The sequence below is a fragment of the Homo sapiens genome, chromosome 4, assembly GCF_000001405.40.
Source record: "Homo sapiens chromosome 4, GRCh38.p14 Primary Assembly".
Classification (NCBI taxonomy): Eukaryota; Metazoa; Chordata; class Mammalia; order Primates; family Hominidae; genus Homo; species Homo sapiens.
Genome location: NC_000004.12, coordinates 166,058,362 through 166,080,494, shown reverse-complemented (window position 1 = coordinate 166,080,494; position 22,133 = coordinate 166,058,362). Strand labels below are relative to the sequence as shown.

At 33.9% G+C, this 22,133-nt stretch overlaps 1 protein-coding gene across 1 annotated transcript in view; it reads right to left on the bottom strand.

The window, feature by feature from the left end:
* Window positions 1-22,133, bottom strand: part of TLL1 (tolloid like 1) — a 231,221-nt gene that overhangs the window by 23,963 nt on the left and 185,125 nt on the right. Inside the window, exons 15-18 of the mRNA NM_012464.5 lie at window positions 20,307-20,467; window positions 14,632-14,812; window positions 5,492-5,617; window positions 2,465-2,592 (exon numbers count right to left, since the gene is read on the bottom strand). Of these exons, the coding sequence (NP_036596.3) occupies window positions 2,465-2,592; window positions 5,492-5,617; window positions 14,632-14,812; window positions 20,307-20,467 (596 nt within the window). The remainder of the gene's footprint in view (window positions 1-2,464; window positions 2,593-5,491; window positions 5,618-14,631; window positions 14,813-20,306; window positions 20,468-22,133) is intronic.

Here is a 22,133-nt window from a genome sequence, read left to right as displayed (position 1 = left end):
GGAATTTAAAGGAACTACGAATTTAACATTGATAAGTTAAAGGTTCTAGTGAAGATGTAGAGAATATGCAAGAACAGATGGGAGATTTCAGCAGATAAATGGTGTTATGGATTGAATTTTGTTTTTCTAAAATTAATGTTGAAGTCCGAACCCCCAATGTGATATGTTTAGGGAGGTAATTAAGGTTAAATAAACCATAGGGATGCAGCCCTAATCCTATAGGGCTGGTATTCTTATAAGAAGAGTAAGAGACACTGGAGCTCTGTCTCTCTCTATGAATACACAAAGAAAATACCATGTGAGGATACAGTGAGGTGGAGGCCATATACAAGCCAGAAAGAGAGGCCTCACCAGACACTAACCCTTGTTAAGTCCAACTTAATCTTGGACCTCTAGCCTCCAGAACTATGAGAAAATAAATTTCTGTCATTTAAGCCATAAGTCTGTGATAATCTGTTATGGCGGCCCAAACAGACTACCACAAATGGAAACTATAATAAGTGAAATGTAAGTGCTAGCAATAAAGAACATGGTAATAGAGATAAAGAATGCTTTTGACAAATTCATCAGTAGATTCGAGACAGCCAAAGAAATAATTACTGAATTTGAAGACAGGTCAATAGAAATTACTGAAACTTAAACTCAGAAAGAAGGGCAAAAAATGAACTGAATATCCAAGAGTTGAGGAATAACAGCAAACAATCTAGCCCATAAGTAATTTGAATCCCAGAAGACAGACAATGGCACAGATGAATTATATGAAGAAATAACAATTGAGAATTTTCAAAAATTAATGACAGACCCCACAATACAGATGTAAGAAATTCAGAGAATTCTGAGAAGGAAAAATACCAAAAAATTACTAAACAGAAATATACACACACACAAACACATACACCTGCATACACTATATTCAAATTGCTGATAAAAAGAAAATTTTGAAGGCAGCCATAGGAAAAAGAATTACGACTTAACACAGAAATAAAGATAAGATTTACAAAAGAAGTATGGAAAACTATGTAAACCAGAAAAAAAATGGAATCATTCAAGATGGAGAAAGAAAACTGTCATCCTAGAATTCTATATGCAATGAAAACAGCTTTCAAAAGTGCTAATGCACATACTTTATACAAAATATAAAAATAAATTCTTCAGAAAGAATATGATACCCAAAAAAAATTTGGATTGAGACAAAGAAATGTCTCCACGAAAATCAATTTTTCCAACTCTCTTAAGAAAATGAACGCCTTAAAAGAATGCAGCCTCTATATTTCAGCCCATAAGGCTCAGGAAGCTACCATAAGGTTCAGGGAATCATCCTCTCAATCAGGACCTTGGACAGGACTGGAGAGCAGTTGAGTTCCTCTAGTGCTGTCATTTCAGCATTTAGTATCCTTCAACAGTGTGGCTGAAATGAATTGATAACTCTGTCTGGGAAGTCACTTACAAGTATAGAGATTGGAAGGACCTCCATACTAAGAATATGAATTTCTTGGTGACTGTCTCTGATTTTATTATAATGTTGTACATAAATAAGGCCTTTTTATTGGCCAATAATATTCACTGAAGGGAAGAGTCAAAACAAGAAATTTAAAAATTAAGCTTATGATTGGACTGATCTAGTGAGCTACCTTGGACTGGTAGTCTCACTCCTCAGACAATTTTTGATATTATAGTGCCTGCTAGGCTCTTTCCTGAGCCTTGTTAGTTGGCACTGCCTTCTGCTTCTAAAAACAACATATTGCAGGAAATTGTTAACATTTCTACATTCTATAATTTTATTTCTTTAGATTATACTGTTTAAACACTCTGTGGCCTATAATGAAATTTAACATTTATTATCAGGTTATTATTTATGACCAGGCCAGAATGCAGAATGCAAAGAATGCAGGAGAGATGAGACATTATACTCATATTTGAATTACTCATGCCGAATAAAATGTGGGCAAAATCTAAGGAAATCAGGATCTTTGTACAGAGGGCAATACATCATGCAAAAATAATATTCTGTAAACCACAAGACAAAATTGATTCTATTATGAAAAATACGTATGTATATGCAATTGGCATAACCAGTAGAATATGTTATGCCGGGTTTAAGTGAAATATTATTCTATCGCTTTCTGGCAAATTCCGATTTTTTTGTTCCATCGTTTATTTTCCAAATTTGGAAATATAATTACCAGTAATACATTAGGAAGTAAAGACTACTGTTTTGCAGCAACTTTGGTAATGCCTTTTAAAACATCCAGGATAAGAAACCCTAGAGGAGAACAACGTGGCAGTCACCTTGATCTAGGAAGTCAAGGATTTTAGTGCAAGTAGGAAAGCATGAGACAAAAAATCTTTTCCAGCTGCCTACGATTCGATTCAATTAGATAAACCTCCATTTTATTTCCAAGTGCTTGTAGTGAAAGACAAGGGCAGTCAGCTTAATGGAAAGAAAAAGGATGTGCTCACTTACTAATTTGATTCGGTGGCCAGGAGTGGCGCTGATTTCCCAAGTGCATTCTTTCCTGCTTGGGTACTTGTCTGGCCAGTTGGGACTGGTGATGAGGCCACTTGGACTGTGGATCTTCTGTTCACACTCAGCTGCACCAATAACCATAATATCAGACAGTGTGGCAATCCAGCCCAGGTTTGAGGCAGAAAGCAAGCAGCCTATTTACCCACTGCCCTGTTGAAAGATTTTCCTGAATACCAGCTAATTTTCACTCCCGTGTCGGTTATTATATTCATCTGCTCTGGAAAATACGTTGCTGAGTATAATCAGGCAATGTTTGTTGTCTGCCTCACATGAAATTAAGTATTTACCATAAATCAGATAAATGCCTAAAAGAAAATGAACTTTTATTTTAAACTGATGGGTCTGTAGCTCAGACTTTAACAGTGCAACATATATTGACAGTCGAGAATATCCACACTGGGTGTATTTAATCCAATGTCACAAACAAACATCATTGGACTATGCCATTTTCAATTTTTTTCCTATAAAGGAAACATCATTTACAGCTAATTAATATCATTAAGGCACCTTATGAATCATGTATTTACATTTTCTCTCTCTCTTAGTTAAATATACACTTGAATACCTACATCATAATTTTAGCTTCTAAAATAAATTAGCCCTAATTTTATCAAAGCAAATGGAAGCACTAAGGGGAATGATAAATGAACAGCTACTAGCCCTGGAGATGCTTCTGAACCAACTTCAAAGGATACCTCATTCAATCAGTATAATTACTTAAGGGTTTTTTTTTTTTTTACAATTAAAATAACCTCATTTTAGACAAGATCATTCCACATGGTTAATGTTAAATTTCAAAAACATTTAATATCCTCAAGCTGTGCTCTTTCTATATAATTTAGGAAGCTCTATAACATACAACCTTGTTTAGACTGGGATTATTTGTTAGGTACTGTGTATCCCATTCTAAAATACAAATAACTTTCTAAAATTTCCAGAGCAATATATTTGGTGAAATACTTTATTCAATGGACAACACACTTGTTATACCCTTCGGGGCCACACAGCAAGGGTAACATGCCCAACATTAGTTAGTGCACCTGCTGTAGTTGCTGCTGCCCCCACTGCTGCAATCATTAATACTAGACCTTCACCTTAATTGTGCTAGGTTTCCACAGGGAGATTTGTATTTGCAACAGAAGATTACAATAAAGTGGAAGGTAAAATTCAGTTCCTGTCTAATAATCTATGATTATGGTAGCAAGACATAGCCTTAAAAGTTTGGATCCAGTCATGACAAGGGTTTTCTAAATTCCATTGTCCCTGTCTCTGCCTCACAATGTGAAATGTGAACTCTGCAGGATGTGGCGATGACACTGAGACTAGGTTGAGAGGCTCATTGCTAAACTGCACAAGGAGCATGTACCGTAGTGAAGGTAAAAGATGATCCAACCCCTTTCCTGGCAATAGGACAAGTTTATGAAAGTGCGTCTGGATGTTGTTTTATCTATTATGAAGTTTCCTATATCATTTATGTAATGAACAGACAAATTTGCTACCTGTGATCCACAGGCTACATGTATAATCTATAAAAGCTGTCTTGTTTTTTTCTCTGAATGACCTTCAATGTCTGCAAAACAAAAAATAAAAACCTGGGCCAAGTGCAGTGGCTCATGCCTGCGATCCCAGCACTTTGGGAGGCCGTGGCAGGTGGATTGCTTGAGCTCAGGAGTTCAAGAGCAGCCTGGGCAACATGGCAAAAACCCGTCTCTACAAAAAATACAGAAATTAGCCAGGCATGGTGGTGTGCACCTGTAGTCCCAGCTACTTTGGAGGCTGAAGTGGGAGAATTGCTTAAGCCTGGGAGGTCAAGGCTGCAATCAGCTGAGATCACCCCACTGCATTCCAGCCTCGGTGACAGAGGCAGACCCTGTTTCAAAACAAGAACAAAAATGAAAACCCCAAAACCCACAAAAACCTGGGCCTATTTCCTAATCTATTGATTTAATAGTATATCATATCTTACCAAGTTATGGATATTATGCTTATCCATGAAAGCAGAGAAAGAAAAATTCCTGTTTGTATATGATTCTGCACAATGTAATTAGCTCAATGAAAAAAAGAAAATCCCTGACATGTAACCATATTTCAAAGGAGCTAAATGGAACAAGGGTCAACTCAGGATATTCTCTATTATTCCAATGTTTACACAAAACATTCTTATCTAACTGTGGTTAGAGTCAGGTACCTTCCAATGTACATTTGGTGACTAAAGTTATAAAATTTGCCTTAGTAGTTCTCCTCTCAAAACATGCATAAATCCAATTTAAGTAGAAAATTCGGGAACAGACTGTCAAAGGAAGAAATAAGAGCTGAATAACTATTTATTGTTCTCATCCAGTTCATAGTGGCTAAGGGGATTAGGATTACTGCTTTAAAAAAGTTTTGGAATTTTGTAAGGCCTTGGGGACGAAATCTGGTAGGGTATGATTGTGCTACTATTAAGCTTTTCTGGACCAAAACCATGACTTAAAACTTTAAATGACACAGTGTCTACCATTTTCAAATGTCTTCCCTTTGGTAGGCATTTGAGTTTGATGCTCCTGGTATTTAAAGGGACATCACTTATGTAGCACATGCACAAGATATACAAGATATTTTTGGGAGGAATATTACATCAAATGCAAAACATTTAGCAGAAGTTAAGTTTAAATATGCATAGTGTTATAAGGTCTGTTCCACAAAGACCTGGGGAGAACTTGGTGCTTTTCTGGCTACCAGATGGTATCCTAGCAGCTACTATGTCTGCTATACAAAGCTACTCTAATGCCATCTATGTGCGAAGTACAGATCCAGTCATCTGCCTTGGATCTTTGGACATTACACAGAATTTTGTTTTTTGACATTTGGATAGCCCACCATGATATCACTCATTGAAATGATTAACTCTACTTGGAAGCAGTGCTTTACCCAAACCACATGAAATTCTACATGTTGTCAAAAAAAGTGTATTCCGTTCCATACCTTCCTTGCAATCATGTTTATTGTCATGTAGCACAAATCCATTACGGCATTGACACATGTAGCTCCCCATCGTGTTGACACATTCGTGCTGACATCCACCATTATCCTTAGAGCATTCATCTTTGTCTAGCAAAGAGATCAATCCCATAGTCTAGTAAGTAACTTTAAAAACAGAGGATATCAAAGGGAGTCATTTAGTTGTGGTTAACACTGCCAAAGGGTAAACTAAGTCATGGTTTCTCCTGTTCCCAACATAAAACAAACAAAAATGTATGATCTCTTAGTTTTACCCTTTCCTTGTTTAGCTTGAAGCGTTGTACCATGAATCAAGTTTCCAAGACTATTAGCGCTACGATAATAACTTGTAATCCTCTTTTATTCCTATGCTGGAGTAGAAGTTTTAGGTAGGAGAAAGAGGGAATCAATAGATCTTTTTTCAAATTAACCCTAAACATTTATTGCCAATTTAAAAAAATAAATTTAAAATTGTGCATAGTTTGAATAGCGGCAAGAAATAGCATTTAAGTAGAGGGATATCCTTCAATATATTAACCATGGTATACAGACAGAGGCTAAACAAGGTTCCAAGATTTGTATGTAATCACTTAAAAAAATCACTCAGTATAATTACTGTAGTTGATTTTTTTCCCCATTAACTCTGCAGTTATGCTTAGCATTAATGAATTTGGACATTTCATAGCACTCCAAGCAGAAAAAAGGCATAATTAAACTACTCTAAAGAAGAAATGAAATTTATATATTTTAAACAAATCTACTCTGGTAGACAAGTTTATTAATAAGTCATCCCCTAAAAGGGCTTTTAGTGTGCTAGAAGTAAGGTAAAGATTAGACTAGGAAATACGAGCCCCAAGAAATAGCCAACAAATTCACTACAGGGAAAAAAGCCAAACTAGATTAACAGGCAGTCAATTCGGTGAGGCATCAACCATCACTCTATGTCACTCATCTGTCGTTCCATAGCTGGCCTGTCCATTAACGTCAAAACTGGCAGATTGCTCCTGACACACATTCATGATGGCACGTCACTCAGACTTTCATCACTCCCACACATAGAGAATGAAAAGGACGTGTTACAGTCATATGAGGAGTTAGGCTGAATTCAAATTGTTACTCTCAGCTGATTTTGCTAGTGAGCACTAGCAAGCTCTTGGTGGCCTAGAAATTATTCTATTTTTGCTTTTTTATCAATTCAATATTCATTCCATGGAAAAAGGTTAGGGAAGATATTTTCATCAAAGAATCTGATAGTACTTTTTAAAGGTACATCTATTTTGTTACATTTGAAGATGGATTACATGACACATGTGCTTACAGGTGATATGAATGCATTGGCAATATCTGAATATTTTAAATACATACAGGCAATCTCAGTTTTTAAAGAATATATCATAATTAGTGTATTTGTGATTTATGTGTTCTCCACCTATCCTTGACACTTCCATTATTCTTTCAACACTTATTATCGAGAATAAGCAAAAAGCAAAACAAAATGAAAGCAGAATAAAGAAAATTATTCTGTGAAAGAGCATCAAACACCGAAATGTAGAAAAAATCAGGAGTTAATAGAAAATTAGATTTGTAAAATTAATTTTAGAGAAATTTACCATAATTTTGAACTCCTATTCCATTAGCTGTATCAACAGTGAGAATTATAGTTTATGAATTATAAATGACTTCTACAGAATGGGTGGACAGTAAACGATACTTCCTACCACCATGGTATCAGCTGCCTGCATTTTCTAATGCAGACAGTTAAGCAGTAAATTGCGTGAATTTGTTTTTCACTCTGACTTTCTAGAGGCTCTTTACCTTACGAAGCTTCAGAAAGATGCTTCCTTATGAGTGAATGTAGAATTTATCTCTGCTAAATGGAAGAACCAATTAAGAAAATGCTGGTGGCAGAATTATTCTGAAATAGACACATATTTCCTTTGAAAATGTTTATAAAATGATGGTTTGGTATACTTAATATAAGACCCGATAGAGTGAAGCTCAGTTGTACCCTGGGTCAACCAGGCTTTTGAGAGTAGCTTGGAAACCTAACAACTGTATGCAAAGCAGCTTAGAGAAAATTAGTTCACATTTGCAATTGACTAATAAACAGATGAACTGCTCAGAGACGAACAGTGTGGAGGCAGAGATGGCCTGAATCACCCTTTTATTGGTACCTATTTGGATTGCCATGCATGAAACATACAACAATGTTAAAATACAAATGTGAACACAAGTGTTATTCAATAACACATGCATTATTGCTGTGTTTAAATCCAGTCATTTTATAATAAAAATAATTCCAAAACATAAAATATCCCTAATATCCAAACTTCATTCTAGTGGAAAGGTTAAGTCCTTTGCTCATATTTTTGAGTATAATTAATTTCAAGATTTGTTAAAAAAAAAACTGACCTATAGTAATAGTAACTAAAGAGAGATAAAATTAAAAATGAAACCAATTGTATTTCAATGATTTTGTAGCCAATCATTAATACTCTTGTTGTGCTAAAAATAATAATAATAATGATTTCAGAATAATTTTTGGAAGAAGAGAAAGCAGAGGAGGAAGAGGAGCAAAAGGAAAAAGAAAAGAAAGAAGAGGAAGGAAAAGAAAGAGAACAAGTATAAGAAAGGGAAGAAGAAGAGTTATTATTATTATTTATATAGTCATTATTCTCTAAGTATCTGTCATTTTTTACTTTCCCAACTTATCAGAGTTTCCTGCCTTCATTCGCACATCTGATATAGCATAATTTAATCAAGGGTGCATGAAAATGAAAAGTTATCTGTTAGGCGGCTAGAATATACTTATGAGTTAGTCTAAATTTAAGCTAAGATTCAAAACTGAACTAATCAAAATAGCATCTAAAGGCAGCAGAAGAAAGTTATTATATCCTGAAATGCAGCATGTAAAACTGTGCCTCCATGTGTCAAATAGTCATATGAAAAGAGAAAATTTCAGGAAATCATTGGAATACTCAAAATAATCCAGATGTTTTACATCATGCAGACTAAAAAAATTTTGGTATTTTGCACTATATTTTGAAAAATATTTTAATTTGTCTGCGGAGTAGTAAATATGGTGTGGTTGTTTTAAAACCACTTGTTTGAACGGGAGTTAATAGACTATTCTAATTAAAGTGAATACAATTTTGGATTTCTTATGTTGATGAGAAATGGCAACTTCATAAAAGATAAATTCTGCAAATATATTATAGATTTCCTATTTACAAAAGGTCATCAAACTTGGGAAAAAGCTATTAGCAAACATAATTAACTTCTGTTTTCACTTTCTATTTCTGCTCTTAGGACAAAAACTCTGTTTTCAAGAATACAAATCCAAGGAAAGAGAAAAGGGAGAAGGAGAGACATTTAAACATTTGTCATAATGTCTGCATAACACATTTAATAATTGAAATTTCTATCAATAATTTATTTGAAATTTTCTGGCATTTTCATACACTAGACACAAAATGAAGAAAAAAAGTGTTTTACTTAGTGCTAGAAATAAATGTTTTATCGAGGAGAAATAAAAGCATTTATTTTCTGCAGAAGGAAATTAGCCCCCTTCTTTGGAATGGACATGTCTGCTTTCCATTCCTTCATGGAAGATAAAGAAAAGGCCCATCATTAGGAAAAAGGAAGAGGGTATTCTTCCATCAGAGGCCTGCAGCGAACCTCTGAGACTATCAGAGGTCATCAGTCTATGAATGATACATACTGGATGGCACTGAAGTTGCAACCTGTATCAAGTTCTTGCAAGATTCAAAAATAAAAATTTTCTCTTTGCAGAAAGCTTCCTTATCTGTAGGAAAAAGAAGTCAATGGTCCATGCAACAGAACAGAAACATACAAGAGCAGGTATTCTCAAATTAAATGTTCAGGATCTGAAATAAATGGACACATGCACAGCACACACAGGCCCAACATAAAACTATCCAGTAAATAATCGCCTACAAAAAGCACCAATAAACACTACGAGAGCTACAACAGAGACAATTTTCTCTTTCTATAAACATGCAAATATTTAAATTTCAATAATGATGAAAACTTGGAAGCAGGATTCAAAATCATACAAGAAAGTTGTAGTTGTCTTACTGTGTGGAATTAAGCACTTTAAAGTTTTGTTAGAGTAATATCATGTCGAATTTCATTTGCAAATATCAACAACCATTCCATGAGAGAAACAGTGGACAAGAAGGACACTTACAAATATCGAGACACAGTGAAAGAAAGATAGATGAGGAGCATGTCAATTGAAATCACTTGAATTTAGAGCTAGACAGATTGCAATGCACACATTATTTTAAGTGACTCCTCCATTTGTTACAGACAGAAATGAACTGGGAGTCGGAAAACGAGTTTTAGTCCGTTTCTGTCCTTGAGCAAGTCCCTAGGCTTATCAGCAATAGTTAGATCACATTCCTAATAGATTTTTCCCCAAGGGAGACTGCTATTATTCTTCACATTTTCTGTTCTCAGAATTGCAGAGTCATAACTGAATCTTTTCATTAATACAGGGTTGCCTATAAAAGGCAGAATGCCTATGCTCAACTCTCATTGCCTGAAGTCATTGTTATATTATTCCCAAATAATAAATGCTATAATTAAAAATTTAAAATATGTCAAGTTCCCAAATGTGCTATTTTTTTCAGGTATAAAGTCCAACTAATATTTCTGTTATGCTCAACTCATTTAAAGAAAAGAAACTCTTCTGAGTGGAATACTCTTAGCTTTGCTTCCTCACTTAAAATTAAGTAAATTGCATCATGTATACCTATGCAGACTTGCAGACTTGTGCTCAAATATATCATATAAAATTAAGTTTGCTTTTACTATCACATAAATGAAATCATTATTGTTAATCTAGCAACAAATCTCATTTAGTCGAAGAAAATAACACCAATCTATTGTTGGACTATATATCTTCTAGAAAATGTCTATGGCACTATATTCTCAATTACCTGAAAATAAGTGAATACACACATAATTCTACATAATGTCCAAATGGTCTTATGTTGGCTTCCTAATTTCTTTATTTGCTTTAATATTACTTCATTGTATTGCTCTTTAAATATACCCTGGAATAAGTGTAGCATATTACACTGATTTTTATAGAGCAGCTTATAAATTATTTTGTTATAAAATCCAATGACTTCTTAATTTTTAAGCTACAGCATTTTTATGATTCATTTATGATATTTAGTCAGAATTGATAGATGAGAGTTTCTTAATTTTATGAGCATGGAACTGATGTGAATTATTCCTCTAAAAAGTTCTTAGAGACATCCCTTCAATGTTATTTCTTAAATCTAAAAAGTGTTTGTTTTAAAAATCTGAGGCTATGTGCAAGGATAGCTAAAATCTCTTATGCAATTATTTTATTAGACAATGATATGTTGAAAATAATACTATAAATATATTATTTCATTGTATGTTAAAACTTAAATATATTTGTCTTTTTCCTGATGTATCACTTAACTGAAAGAAAGCTAGAGTTTTATTTTTAATAGCTTTCTTTTCCAAATACTATAGAATCACTTATTACCAAATATTATTTTTTACTATTATTGAGTTCCTTGAAAATTCTTAGAAGTTCTTGGAAAAAGAGTGTGGAACAAATAGCTGAACATGTTATATTGTGTTAAGGTTTCATAAAGCCACAACCACTTCGGAAATTTTTAGAACACTGGCTATAAACATAACCACTTTAGACTATGTGTCTATAAAATATCTCTTGATTAATGTATACAATATATTAACATCTTTATTAGATTGCCTGTAATAAAATTTTTGGGAATTTAACTCAATTAAATACACTTGTATTAATACTTATTAACTAATGAAGAAATAGGTGTCTATAAGGCAGTGTTTGCAAACTAGAAATACTTGGCTAACAGTAATAGGTGGAAACATGATAGGAGTTTTTTCTTTTATATTTATTTTTATATTTAAATTAAAAGAAAACTGAGAAGAAAATGGAGAAAACCATAATGCATCGTCTTTCCACCCTAACCAAGCATTCTTGGTATTTTTATATGGCAACTTTCAGGTTTGTTCCAACCTGTATGCTTAGCTGTGTAGACACTGCATGCACTGTTTCATGCCTAGATTTCCACTGACATTTTACCACGTACAACATTTTACACTGTGGAATCGCTGAACCATCTTTGTAGCACAGAAGAGTCCACAAAGTGCATTTGCCATAACTTATTTACGATTTTCCTGTTGTCGTAATTATTAGGTAGCTCCAAATTTCTGTCACTATCATATTATTTTGAAATTCTTCTTCTGGATTTTGAGATATTTCTTGATGAAAAAGTCCCATGAATGGGATTTCTGGGGCAAATAGAATAGTCATTTTAATGACTCTTGATTTCTATGCCAAATTTCTTTCTATAGAATTTGTGACAATAAATCCAGTAACGAAGTTTATCAAAGCCCCCATAGTGAGTTTTAGCATTTAAGAAAACTTCAATTTTGTTTGTGAAGTATAATATCTTTATAGTTGACATACCTACTTTATAATAATGTAGTTACAGTGAATTACTTGGCTTTTGACATATGATTATATATTATCACACTGAAAGCATTATTAGAAATCTAATATTTGCAATGTGAACAGACATCAATTAAATTAGATAATCTTTTGTAAATTATGACTTCATAAGATCATCATAATGAGGATATTTATTCACCTAAATTCTTATTTTCTGCCATCTCTTGATAATACAACAGCAATTTATTACAAACATGTTTTTAACCTTCCCTTTTCCTGGGCAAACATCTTTCCCACTAACAGAAACTCCCAGGAAATTAAATGTGAAATAGATCTAATCACTCATCCAGAACCACAGTATTTTAAATATCAATCTGAAAAACAGCCAAGACTTTTCAATGATTCACAAAGTGAACCCTGAAAATTTATACTTAATAATAATTGTCTTGGACTTTACAAAACAATAATCTAATAAAGAAGGGAAAATTATATCTGCTGTTGTTTTCCAGGTCATAAGGAAAAGAACTAATGCCATTTGCCAAGGTCATGATCAGTTCTTACGGTTAAGAGAATGGTCTTTGGACCAAGAGATACTAGGTTTAAATGCTCTGTGACACTGAGCAGCTTACTTAACTCCTCAGCTGCCTCATCTGTCATAGAAATATATGAATATAACAATATGAAATGAAACTTTGGGGTTTAATTTCTTCATGAACTTCATTGTTCAGTTTAGTTAACTGCTTATACTCCATCAAACAATCTAGGCTAGACTCTTTGAAAACTATTGTCATGTTAATTGATTCATATATATATATTTTAAGTGCACTGATAAATACTTAAAACATGGATGATTTTCTGAAATCATCCATGTTCTAAGTATGCATCAGTGAACATGATTTACAGCAAATTACCTGTTATTGGCTCAAGTACTACCAAGGTGCTCAGTTACTTTTACAAAGCACAGTTCCACAGAGATGAAGAATAAAGACCATATATGCTCATGTGGTGGAGAACAGCATCTTCTGCACAAGGCTTCAGAGCTGTATTTCAAACAATTAAGGAAGCATATCTTATATTTCAACAGTACTGTTTCTAAGGACACGAATAATCTGTTTTTATAATTTGGAAAATTTTTTCTGACCAAAAATATCAGAAAGGGAATTTTAAATTTTCTGGGTAACTAAATTTAATCATACTTTGTAGTCAGTATTTGTAGCATGTTTCTTTTCTTAAAAAAATTTAAAATTAAATATATGACTAAAGTAACATAAAAAGGATCCTGAACACTTTCTTTTTAAAAATCATTTTAGATTCATGTGGGATGTGTGCAGGTTTGTTACATGGGTATATTGCGTAATGTTGGGGTTTGGGGCTTCTATTGAACCCATCACCCAAATAGTGAACACAGTACTCACTAGTAACTTTAATTATTATGACAAAAATCATTTACTTCATAATCTCAATTTTTAAAATAAATATTTAGATAGCTTTAAGATAAGTAACCTTGTCTCTACCTAACCATGGGATCATTTAAACTTTATAACACACATAATATTTATAAAATAGTGAAGTCTTAAAAAGTCTTATTTTCATTAAAATATTAAAACTATACTTTGAATAACATAAATCTTAAATGAATACCTGAGAAGCATTTGTAAAAGGTCATTTAACCTGGGAAAAAAGAAGGGAATGAGAACACGGGAGCCGAGGTCCATTGTATTCTGGAGGCTCTTTTCTGTATGACTTGGAACTCAATGGAGCTTGTGAACCATTAACTTCAATTATACTGAAAACCCCAAACAAACCCTAGACATTGTAAATCTCATTAATTTTAAACACATGAGGACCAGAATAAACGGCCTTTGAATTAACTCAATCCAAATTACCTAACATTAAAACATAATTGGAATTCAGTTGCTCTAAATTGCTTGCTAGTTGCAAAGACAGAATAGATTGCTATACTAAGGTTTATTGCAATTTTATCTACTTTGGAAGTTTCAAAATAATGTTTTTATAAAGCATGATTCTGAGATTGAGAAAAAAATGTCTTGGTTTTTTATATATTTCCATAAAATCTGGGGAGTTTTATAAAATTTCAGCTCTTTAAGAAGGAAATTTTACTTTGAGCTGCTTAAACTAAATGTTAAATTTGAAACACAAAAGTGCAAACCATTAAATACAGCTGACAATATATTATATTTAGTAAAATTATAATTTCCATGTTCCTAGGTTTCTTACTGCAACCATTTCTATAATGATGAGGCTAAGCACAATTTTAATATTAACTTAATAATAATGAAAATATATTAAAATAAGAAAAAATACATTGCTAAATAAAAAGATAAAAAACTGTTGCTAAAATGAGACTACATTTTCCGAACACAAAGCAAAATTATTTTGAAAAATCTGCCCCTTTTTGGAGGTCTTGTATCATTATTCCCATCCACCTGTAAAGAGTAAAGTCACTGTATAAAAATATTGCTATAATTATTTTTGTGTTGTTTGTAAGGCCTACTTATCTTCAAGTTGCATTTACAGAAAACTATGAAAAATAGATCACATACAATTTAATCCAACCCACATTGAAAATCTGTAATATACACATACAACATGTGAATGCTTATACCTGAGAAAAAATGTGCTTTGAAGCCCTTCTTGGATACAGTATTGTCAGATTTGAATTCAATTCTCATATTGTTGAACTGGGATGTGATCACTTCAGGCACTTCAGCGCCACAGAATTTGCCATGCAGTTTAGACTCAGAGGAAAGACCACTCCAGATCTCCACATAATCATATTTGCAAACCTAGAAAAAAATGTGGTTATCAGTTGCCAGATTTGTGAGTACAAGATGATTGACATTTATCTTAAAAAAACATATCTTATTTTTCCCATTTTACTCTTACGGTAGTCAAACTAGAACTAACAGGTAAGGAAAAAAATCAGGTCAGACACAGTGACTCATGCCTGTAATCCCAGCACACAACTACTAGCAATAGAAATAGCTCTTTCCATTGTAGAGATGAGAAAACTGAAGTTCAGAGATTTTTATATAGCTTGTCCAAAATGATACTTGTCATACATGGCACTGGTGATTAACAACAAGGAGTTCGGCTTAGTCCAGTACTGTCTCCCAGAAACACCACATTCTAATGAGAACAGCACCATTAGTAACTTTAAAAGAGAAAGATGGATACTTGATGTATAATAAAAAAGATTATTTGCTTTTTAAACTTACTAAAAGGACTGATATTTCTTAATTTCTTTTTGTTGCTGAGTGCTGTGAAGTTACTCTGTAGGGTTGCTGCAGGACTGCAAACACATAGGAATTCTATTCAGTGCAAAGGAGGTAAGAATTTATATTAAAATAAGGTAGCCTCATTCTGATTTATATATAATATACTAACAACACTAAAATGGAAGAAGCTAAATGAATGCCAGGTATTCTTAAGCAATTTTATGGCCACTAACAGATGTTTCCATAATATACTTTTCCAAAGTTCCAACAGGGCACATGTTCAAGAACAAATCTTGCATGAATGACCTTATTACATAAATATGTAATTAGCAAGGTTTAACAATGCATATGATTGAACCCTGGGGCAAGATCTGTGCTTTGAAATATGTCAACTCAAATTACTGGTTCTTCTGCTACTAAATAGGTGATGAATAAGCAAAATGCTGCTAGGGAAAATGAAATAACTTTTCTACTTACTTTGTTACAATTGCAATTTTTGTTTGGAGAGTTCCAATATAGTATAAAAGACTGTTTCCGAGGCTAAAGATGTTGTCATTGACTTTCCTTTGGAATAGCAATATAATGAATAAAATAATGATGTTTTAAGCCTAACCCATTATTCTGTAAGTCAAGTTTTTGCTCAGGCCTTTTATTTTAAATAGCTAAGATATCAAACTATGAAAATACAGAGAATTCTGTAACAGCTTTCTACACAGTAACATGATTATAAATTAAAGAACACAAGAATATGTTAACACAGTTTGTAAACAGCCATTCTATGAATGGTGACCCTGACTATGAGAATAATGCTTTCAGAACACAATACCTCAATTATATAAAACCATCTCCCCTGCTTTCTCCTGAATGCAGACCTCTAGACTTATTACAAATATCTATCAATTAATAAATCAAAATGTCACACCCAACACAGTAATAGCTTAAGGGAAAACTATGGGAGTAGATGTCATTCAACACTAAGTTCACATCAATCCCAGAATTGGTAGGGAAATTCCCATTTTCAAAAGGTGTAGCTCAAAAAGAAAAACCTCTCTAAAAATAGTATAAAAATAATTTTCTTTACTTATTAAAAGAAAATTATATTTCATGTAAAGTATGTTAAAATGATAAATTGCAGTCTTTCTCATTATAAAACTTACACATAATGTTAAAAAGAAGCTCAAATGGCCCATTGAGTTCCAAGATTCTGCAATTCCTTGAAATATGTAAGTTCATCACATTTCTTTTTTTTTTTAATTATTATACTTTAAGTTCTAGGGTACATGTGCACAACGTGAAGTTTGTTACATACGTATACACGTGCCATGTTGGTATGCTGCACCCATTAACTCATCATTTACATTAGGTATATCTCCTAATGCTATCCCTTCCCCCTCCCCCCACCTTATGACAGGCCCCGGTGTGTGGCGTGATGTTCCCCACCCTGTATCCAAGTGTTCTCATTGTTCAATTCCCACCTATGAATGAGAGCATGCAGTGTTTGGTTTTCTGTCCTTGCGATAGTTTGCTCAGAATGATGGTTTCCAGCTTCATCCATGTCTCTACAAAGGACATGAACTCATCATTTTTTATGGCTGCATAGTATTCCATGGTGTATATGTGCCACAGTTTCTTAATCCAGTCTATCATTGATGGACATTTGGGTTGGTTCCAAGTCTTTGCTATTGTCAATAGTGCCACAATAAACATACGTGTGCATGTGTCTTTAAAGCAGCATGATTTATAATCCTTTGGGTATATACCCCGTAATGGGGTGGCTGGGTCAAATGGTATTTCTAGTTCTAGATCCTTGAGGAATCGTCACACTGTCTTCCACAATGGTTGAACTAGTTTACAGTCCCACCAACAGTGTAAAAGTGTTCCTATTTCTCCACATCCTCTCCAGCACCTGTGGTTTCCTGACTTTTTAATGATCACCATTCTAACTGGTGTGAGATGGTATCTCATTGTGGTTTTGATTTGCATTTCTCTGATGGCCAGTGATGATGAGCATTTTTTCATGTGTCTGTTGGCTGCATAAATGTCTTCCTTTGAGAAGTGTCTGTTTATATCCTTCGCCCACTTTTTGATGGGGTTGTTTGATTTTTTCTTGTAAATTTGTTTAAGTTCTTTGTAGATTCTGGATATTAGAACTTTGTCAGATGGGTAGATTGTAAAAATTTTCTCCCATTCTGTAGGTTACCTGTTCACTCTGATGTTAGCAAATCAATAAATGTAATCCATCATATAAACAGAACCAAAGACAAAAACCACATGATTATCTCAATAGATGCAGAAAAGGCCTTTGACAAAATGCAACAGCCCTTCATGCTAAAAACTCTCAATAAACTAGGTATTGATGGGATGTATCTCAAAATAATAACAGCTATTTATGACAAACCCACAGCCAATATCATACTGAATGGGCAAAATCTGGAGGCATTCCCTTTGAAAACTGGCACAAGACAGGGATGCCCTCTCTCACCACTCCTATTCAACATAGTGTTGGAAGTTCTGGCCAGGGCAATCAGGCAGGAGAAAGAAATAAAGGGTATTCAATTAGGAAAAGAGGAAGTCAAATTGTCCCTGTTTGCAGATGACATGATTGTATATTTAGAAAACTCCATCATCTCTGCCCAAAATCTCCATAAGCTGAAAACCAACTTCAGCAAAGTCTCAGAATACAAAATCAATGTGCAAAAATCACAAGCATTTCTATACACCAATAACAGACAAACAGAGAGCCAAATCATGAGTGAACTTCCATTCACAATTGCTTCAAAGAGAATTAAATACCTTGGAATACAACTTACGAGGGATGTGAAGGACCTCTTCAAGGAGAACTGTAAACCACTGATCAACGAAATAAAAGAAGACACAAACAAATGGAAGAACATTCCATGCTCATGGATAGGAAGAATCAATATTGTGAAAATGGCTATACTGCCCAAGGTAATTTATAGATTCAATGCCATCCCCATCAAGCTACCAATGACTTTCTTCACAGAATTGGAAAAAACTACTTTAAAGTTCATATGGAACCAAAAAAGAACCCACATCTCCACGACAATCCTAAGCCAAAAGAACAAAGCTGGAGGCATCATGCTACCTGACTTCAAACTATACTACAAGGCTACAGTAACTAAAACAGCATGGTACTGGTACCAACACAGAGATATAGATCAATGGAACAGAACAGAGCCCTCAGAAATAATACCACACATCTACAACCATCTGATCTTTGACAAACCTGACAAAAACAAGAAATGGGGAAAGGATTCCCTATTTAATAAATGGTGCTGGGAAAACTGGCTAGCCATATGTAGAAAGCTGAAACTGGGTCCTTTCCTTACACCTTATACAAAAATTAATTCAAGATGGAGTAAAGACTTAAATATTAGAACTAAAACCACAAAAACCCTAGAAGAAAACCTAGGCAATACCATTCAGAACATAGGCATGAACAAGGACTTCATGAATAAAACACCAAAAGCAATGACAACAAAAGCCAAAATTGACAAATGGGATCTAATTAAACTAAAGAGCTTCTGCACAGCAAAAGTTCATCATATTTCAAACTTTAATTTTCTTTAAGAGAACACAGAAGTCAGCTACCTCTTTTTTACCTAAAAGCCACTAGTAAAAAGCTAAAACCTCCTTGGTTACTACAAGCAGAATTAAGAGGAAAAAAAGTAATTAAAAGGAAAGAGGCCAGGCACGGTAGCTCATGCCTGTAATCCCAGCACTTCTGGAGGCTGAGGCAGGCGGATCACTTGAAGTCAAGAATTCGAGATTAGCCTGGCCAACATGGTGAAACCCCGTCTCTACTAAATGCAAAAATTAGCTGGGTGTGGTGGCGCATGCCTGTAATCCCAGCTATTCGGGAGGCTGAGGCAGGAAGAATTGTTTGAACCCAGGAGGCGGAGGTTGCAGTGAGTCAAGATAGCACCACTGCACTCCAGCCTGGGCAACAGAGCGAGACTCTGTCTCAAAAAAAAAAAAGAAAAAAAAAAAAGGAAAGGAGGAAAAGTAGGCAGTAAAAAAGGAAGAAGAAAAATAGACACACAAAAGCAAAACTATGGTATAAAACCCACAAATATTACCAACAATTACTGCTTCAGTGGCACAGATACATTACATTTCCGTTCTCTGATATACATCAGAGACAAAAGTGTCCAACTGATGTACATCAAAGACAAAATATTTTTTGTGGGTTAATTTTATTTTATGGATGGATAAAAATCATGTTCATTTAATAAACGTTAAAAACGTTGTTGGGAGAAAAGGATGCAAAGGAAGTTAGAAAAAGAAGAGAACGTACAGAAGACGAAACAAAACAAACGTTTATAACCTTTCCTCTGGAATTAAACCAGTGTTGACCAATCACACAAAGGATGTTTTTCTAAAAGTTCCCATTTCAGGCTTGACATTCCACTTGAATTTGATGTGTGTGTGTGCACTAGCACAAAGGAATTTTCAAATAAATGATTTCACTTGTTTAAATGTAGTCACCTGACAGAAACTGTACCTTTAGTAGAGTAAGCTATATTCTGCATTAAAAAAGGATAGCTTTAAATACATCTTTTACTGAGGTTAAAAAATTAATCTTTCCTTCTTTATGAACCACGAGCACATTCATAATGAAAAGCTACATATATAATGTAAATATACCCATTTCCATAAGTAAAATATGCCAGGTTCTTCCAAATGATATTTTTGTTATGACTCAGCCACAGGGTTTTGGTTTATTTTTTTCTAGAAGTGTCTATGTGACATGAAGTTGACCCTAAATACTCCATAGTTATTTAACAAATCAAGAAAATGGTAAATATTAAATACACTAAATAAAAACTCCCTCTAGGTAATTTTCAATCTTCCAGAAAGAGTCTAAAGTATCATCCAATGCCAACGAGATTCATAAGCAGTTGCAGAAATGAGCAGTAAGACAAAGAAAGAATACAATGTCTATACTATTTTACTACATCTTTTTTTTTTTTAATTTCACAGTTTGCCTTCAGGGAGTTCCAAAACATGATTTAAAAAATTACAGTTATTGTTCACTTACTTCATTGCCTTCCAATTCAAAAAACTCAAACTTCACAGAAATTCTGTACTGGGTTGGTGCAACCACTTGCCACACACAGTTCTTATTAGGAGGGTACTCCTTGGGCCAGCCAGGGGTGGTTATGGTGCCGTTAAGTTTGGTAAGAAGTCCACCACAAGCAGCTAGAAGAAAAGAAAAGAAAAAGGTATATTCTCCCCATGAAGTCACCCACTTCTTAGCACCTGTCCATTAATTAATACCCAAACATCTCAGCACTAAATTTCAACTATCTTCTGGATTTTAAAATCCAGAAATGGCAGTCTCTGCTCCTTAGTCTTGATACAAGTATTGTGGTCATTAAGTCTCATTTTTAAGGTGTTATTTTGTAGCTTAGTAGCCGAGAATATTATGGCTGTACTAAATTTTAGTAACTTTAAAGTAGGGGGAGCAATTTAAAAAAAATTAAAAATCTAGGTCTCAGTTTTCTTATCTTTAGAGTTGGTCTAATAATATCTTGTAGTGCCTTGGCCACTACAGAATTAAGGAAAAAAATTTTTTTTTTGTCGGAATTGAGAAGGGTGTTAGGAGATTTAAGGAAAATATACATGTAAAGCACAGTTTAGGATGATGTAATAAAACCAAATCAATTGTTCATTTCCTCAAACTTTTTTTCCAAGACAAGTAACTCAATATTACCTGAGCTACCAGACAAGATAAATTATGGTAAATAGAGCATATTTGTTATTCCAAAAAGTCCAATTTAAATACTGATTTTCTTTTTAAATAGATCTGTGATGATCTATTTTTAAAAGGTTCTATTTAAATTTCATCTCTTCCTTATTGACAGTGAAATTAGCAAAATCATGGTATCCAAAAGCAAGCTGAGTAAAAAGAACATACATTGTACACAGTTCATAATTAATTCCTAAGGAGTCAAGAGTTACCTAAAATAACTGGTCCCTTTTTTGTCTTTGTGCACGTGTATGTGTGTGTGTGTGTGTATACACATATACATATATGCTATATTTATAAGTATATACAAACACTACCTGTAGTTACTTTTACCACTTTCTTGGTAAATTATGATAAGATAAGTATTTCTAGTTGCTCCACAGAAACAGTAGTCTTGTTATTTTTTGATTGTCTCATATACAATGTCCTCTTTTAAAAATATACTGCTTCATTACTAGGTCTTTTTTATTCTAGTAAAGGGGGAAGATTAGTAGGTTAATAGGTGGGATAGAGACTTCTGGAAGCCAAACAGGAAAGTTCAGACTTTTAAGAAGAAACAGGGAGTCTCTGATTTTTGCTAAATAGGTCAGCAGGGGGGCGTGCATTAAGCAAATAATTCTTTCCCCTTTGCCACTTATTATATCCTCTATTACAGGTACAGTAGAGAACAGGTGCTCATTTTCAGAGGACTAACATTTTGATGGGAGACATCACAGTAAACCAATAAATACATAAATATAAATAATGTTAAACTGCTACACATTCTATGAAGATGAATTTTGCAGAAATTTTAAAAGAGGAATAAAGGAGGAACAGACTGGAGTAAGAAAGATCTTCCAATTCATCCTGCCTGTAATAGCGGTATGGGGCCTGTAATAGGGTGGAGGCAGGGAAAATAAAAAAGAGTTAGCTTTAAAATCTGAAGGAAGAGATCATAGATAATGGTAAGAAAATGCTTTACAAGAAACCTCATCTTAAAACATAAAGACGAAATGCAGATAACCACGACAAAAAGTCTTTTTAAAAAAATCAATCTTTTATTGATAAAACACATATTTATCTCCTGCTTTATGTCTGACTGTGCTAGATATTAGAGATACAAAGATGATTCTAACT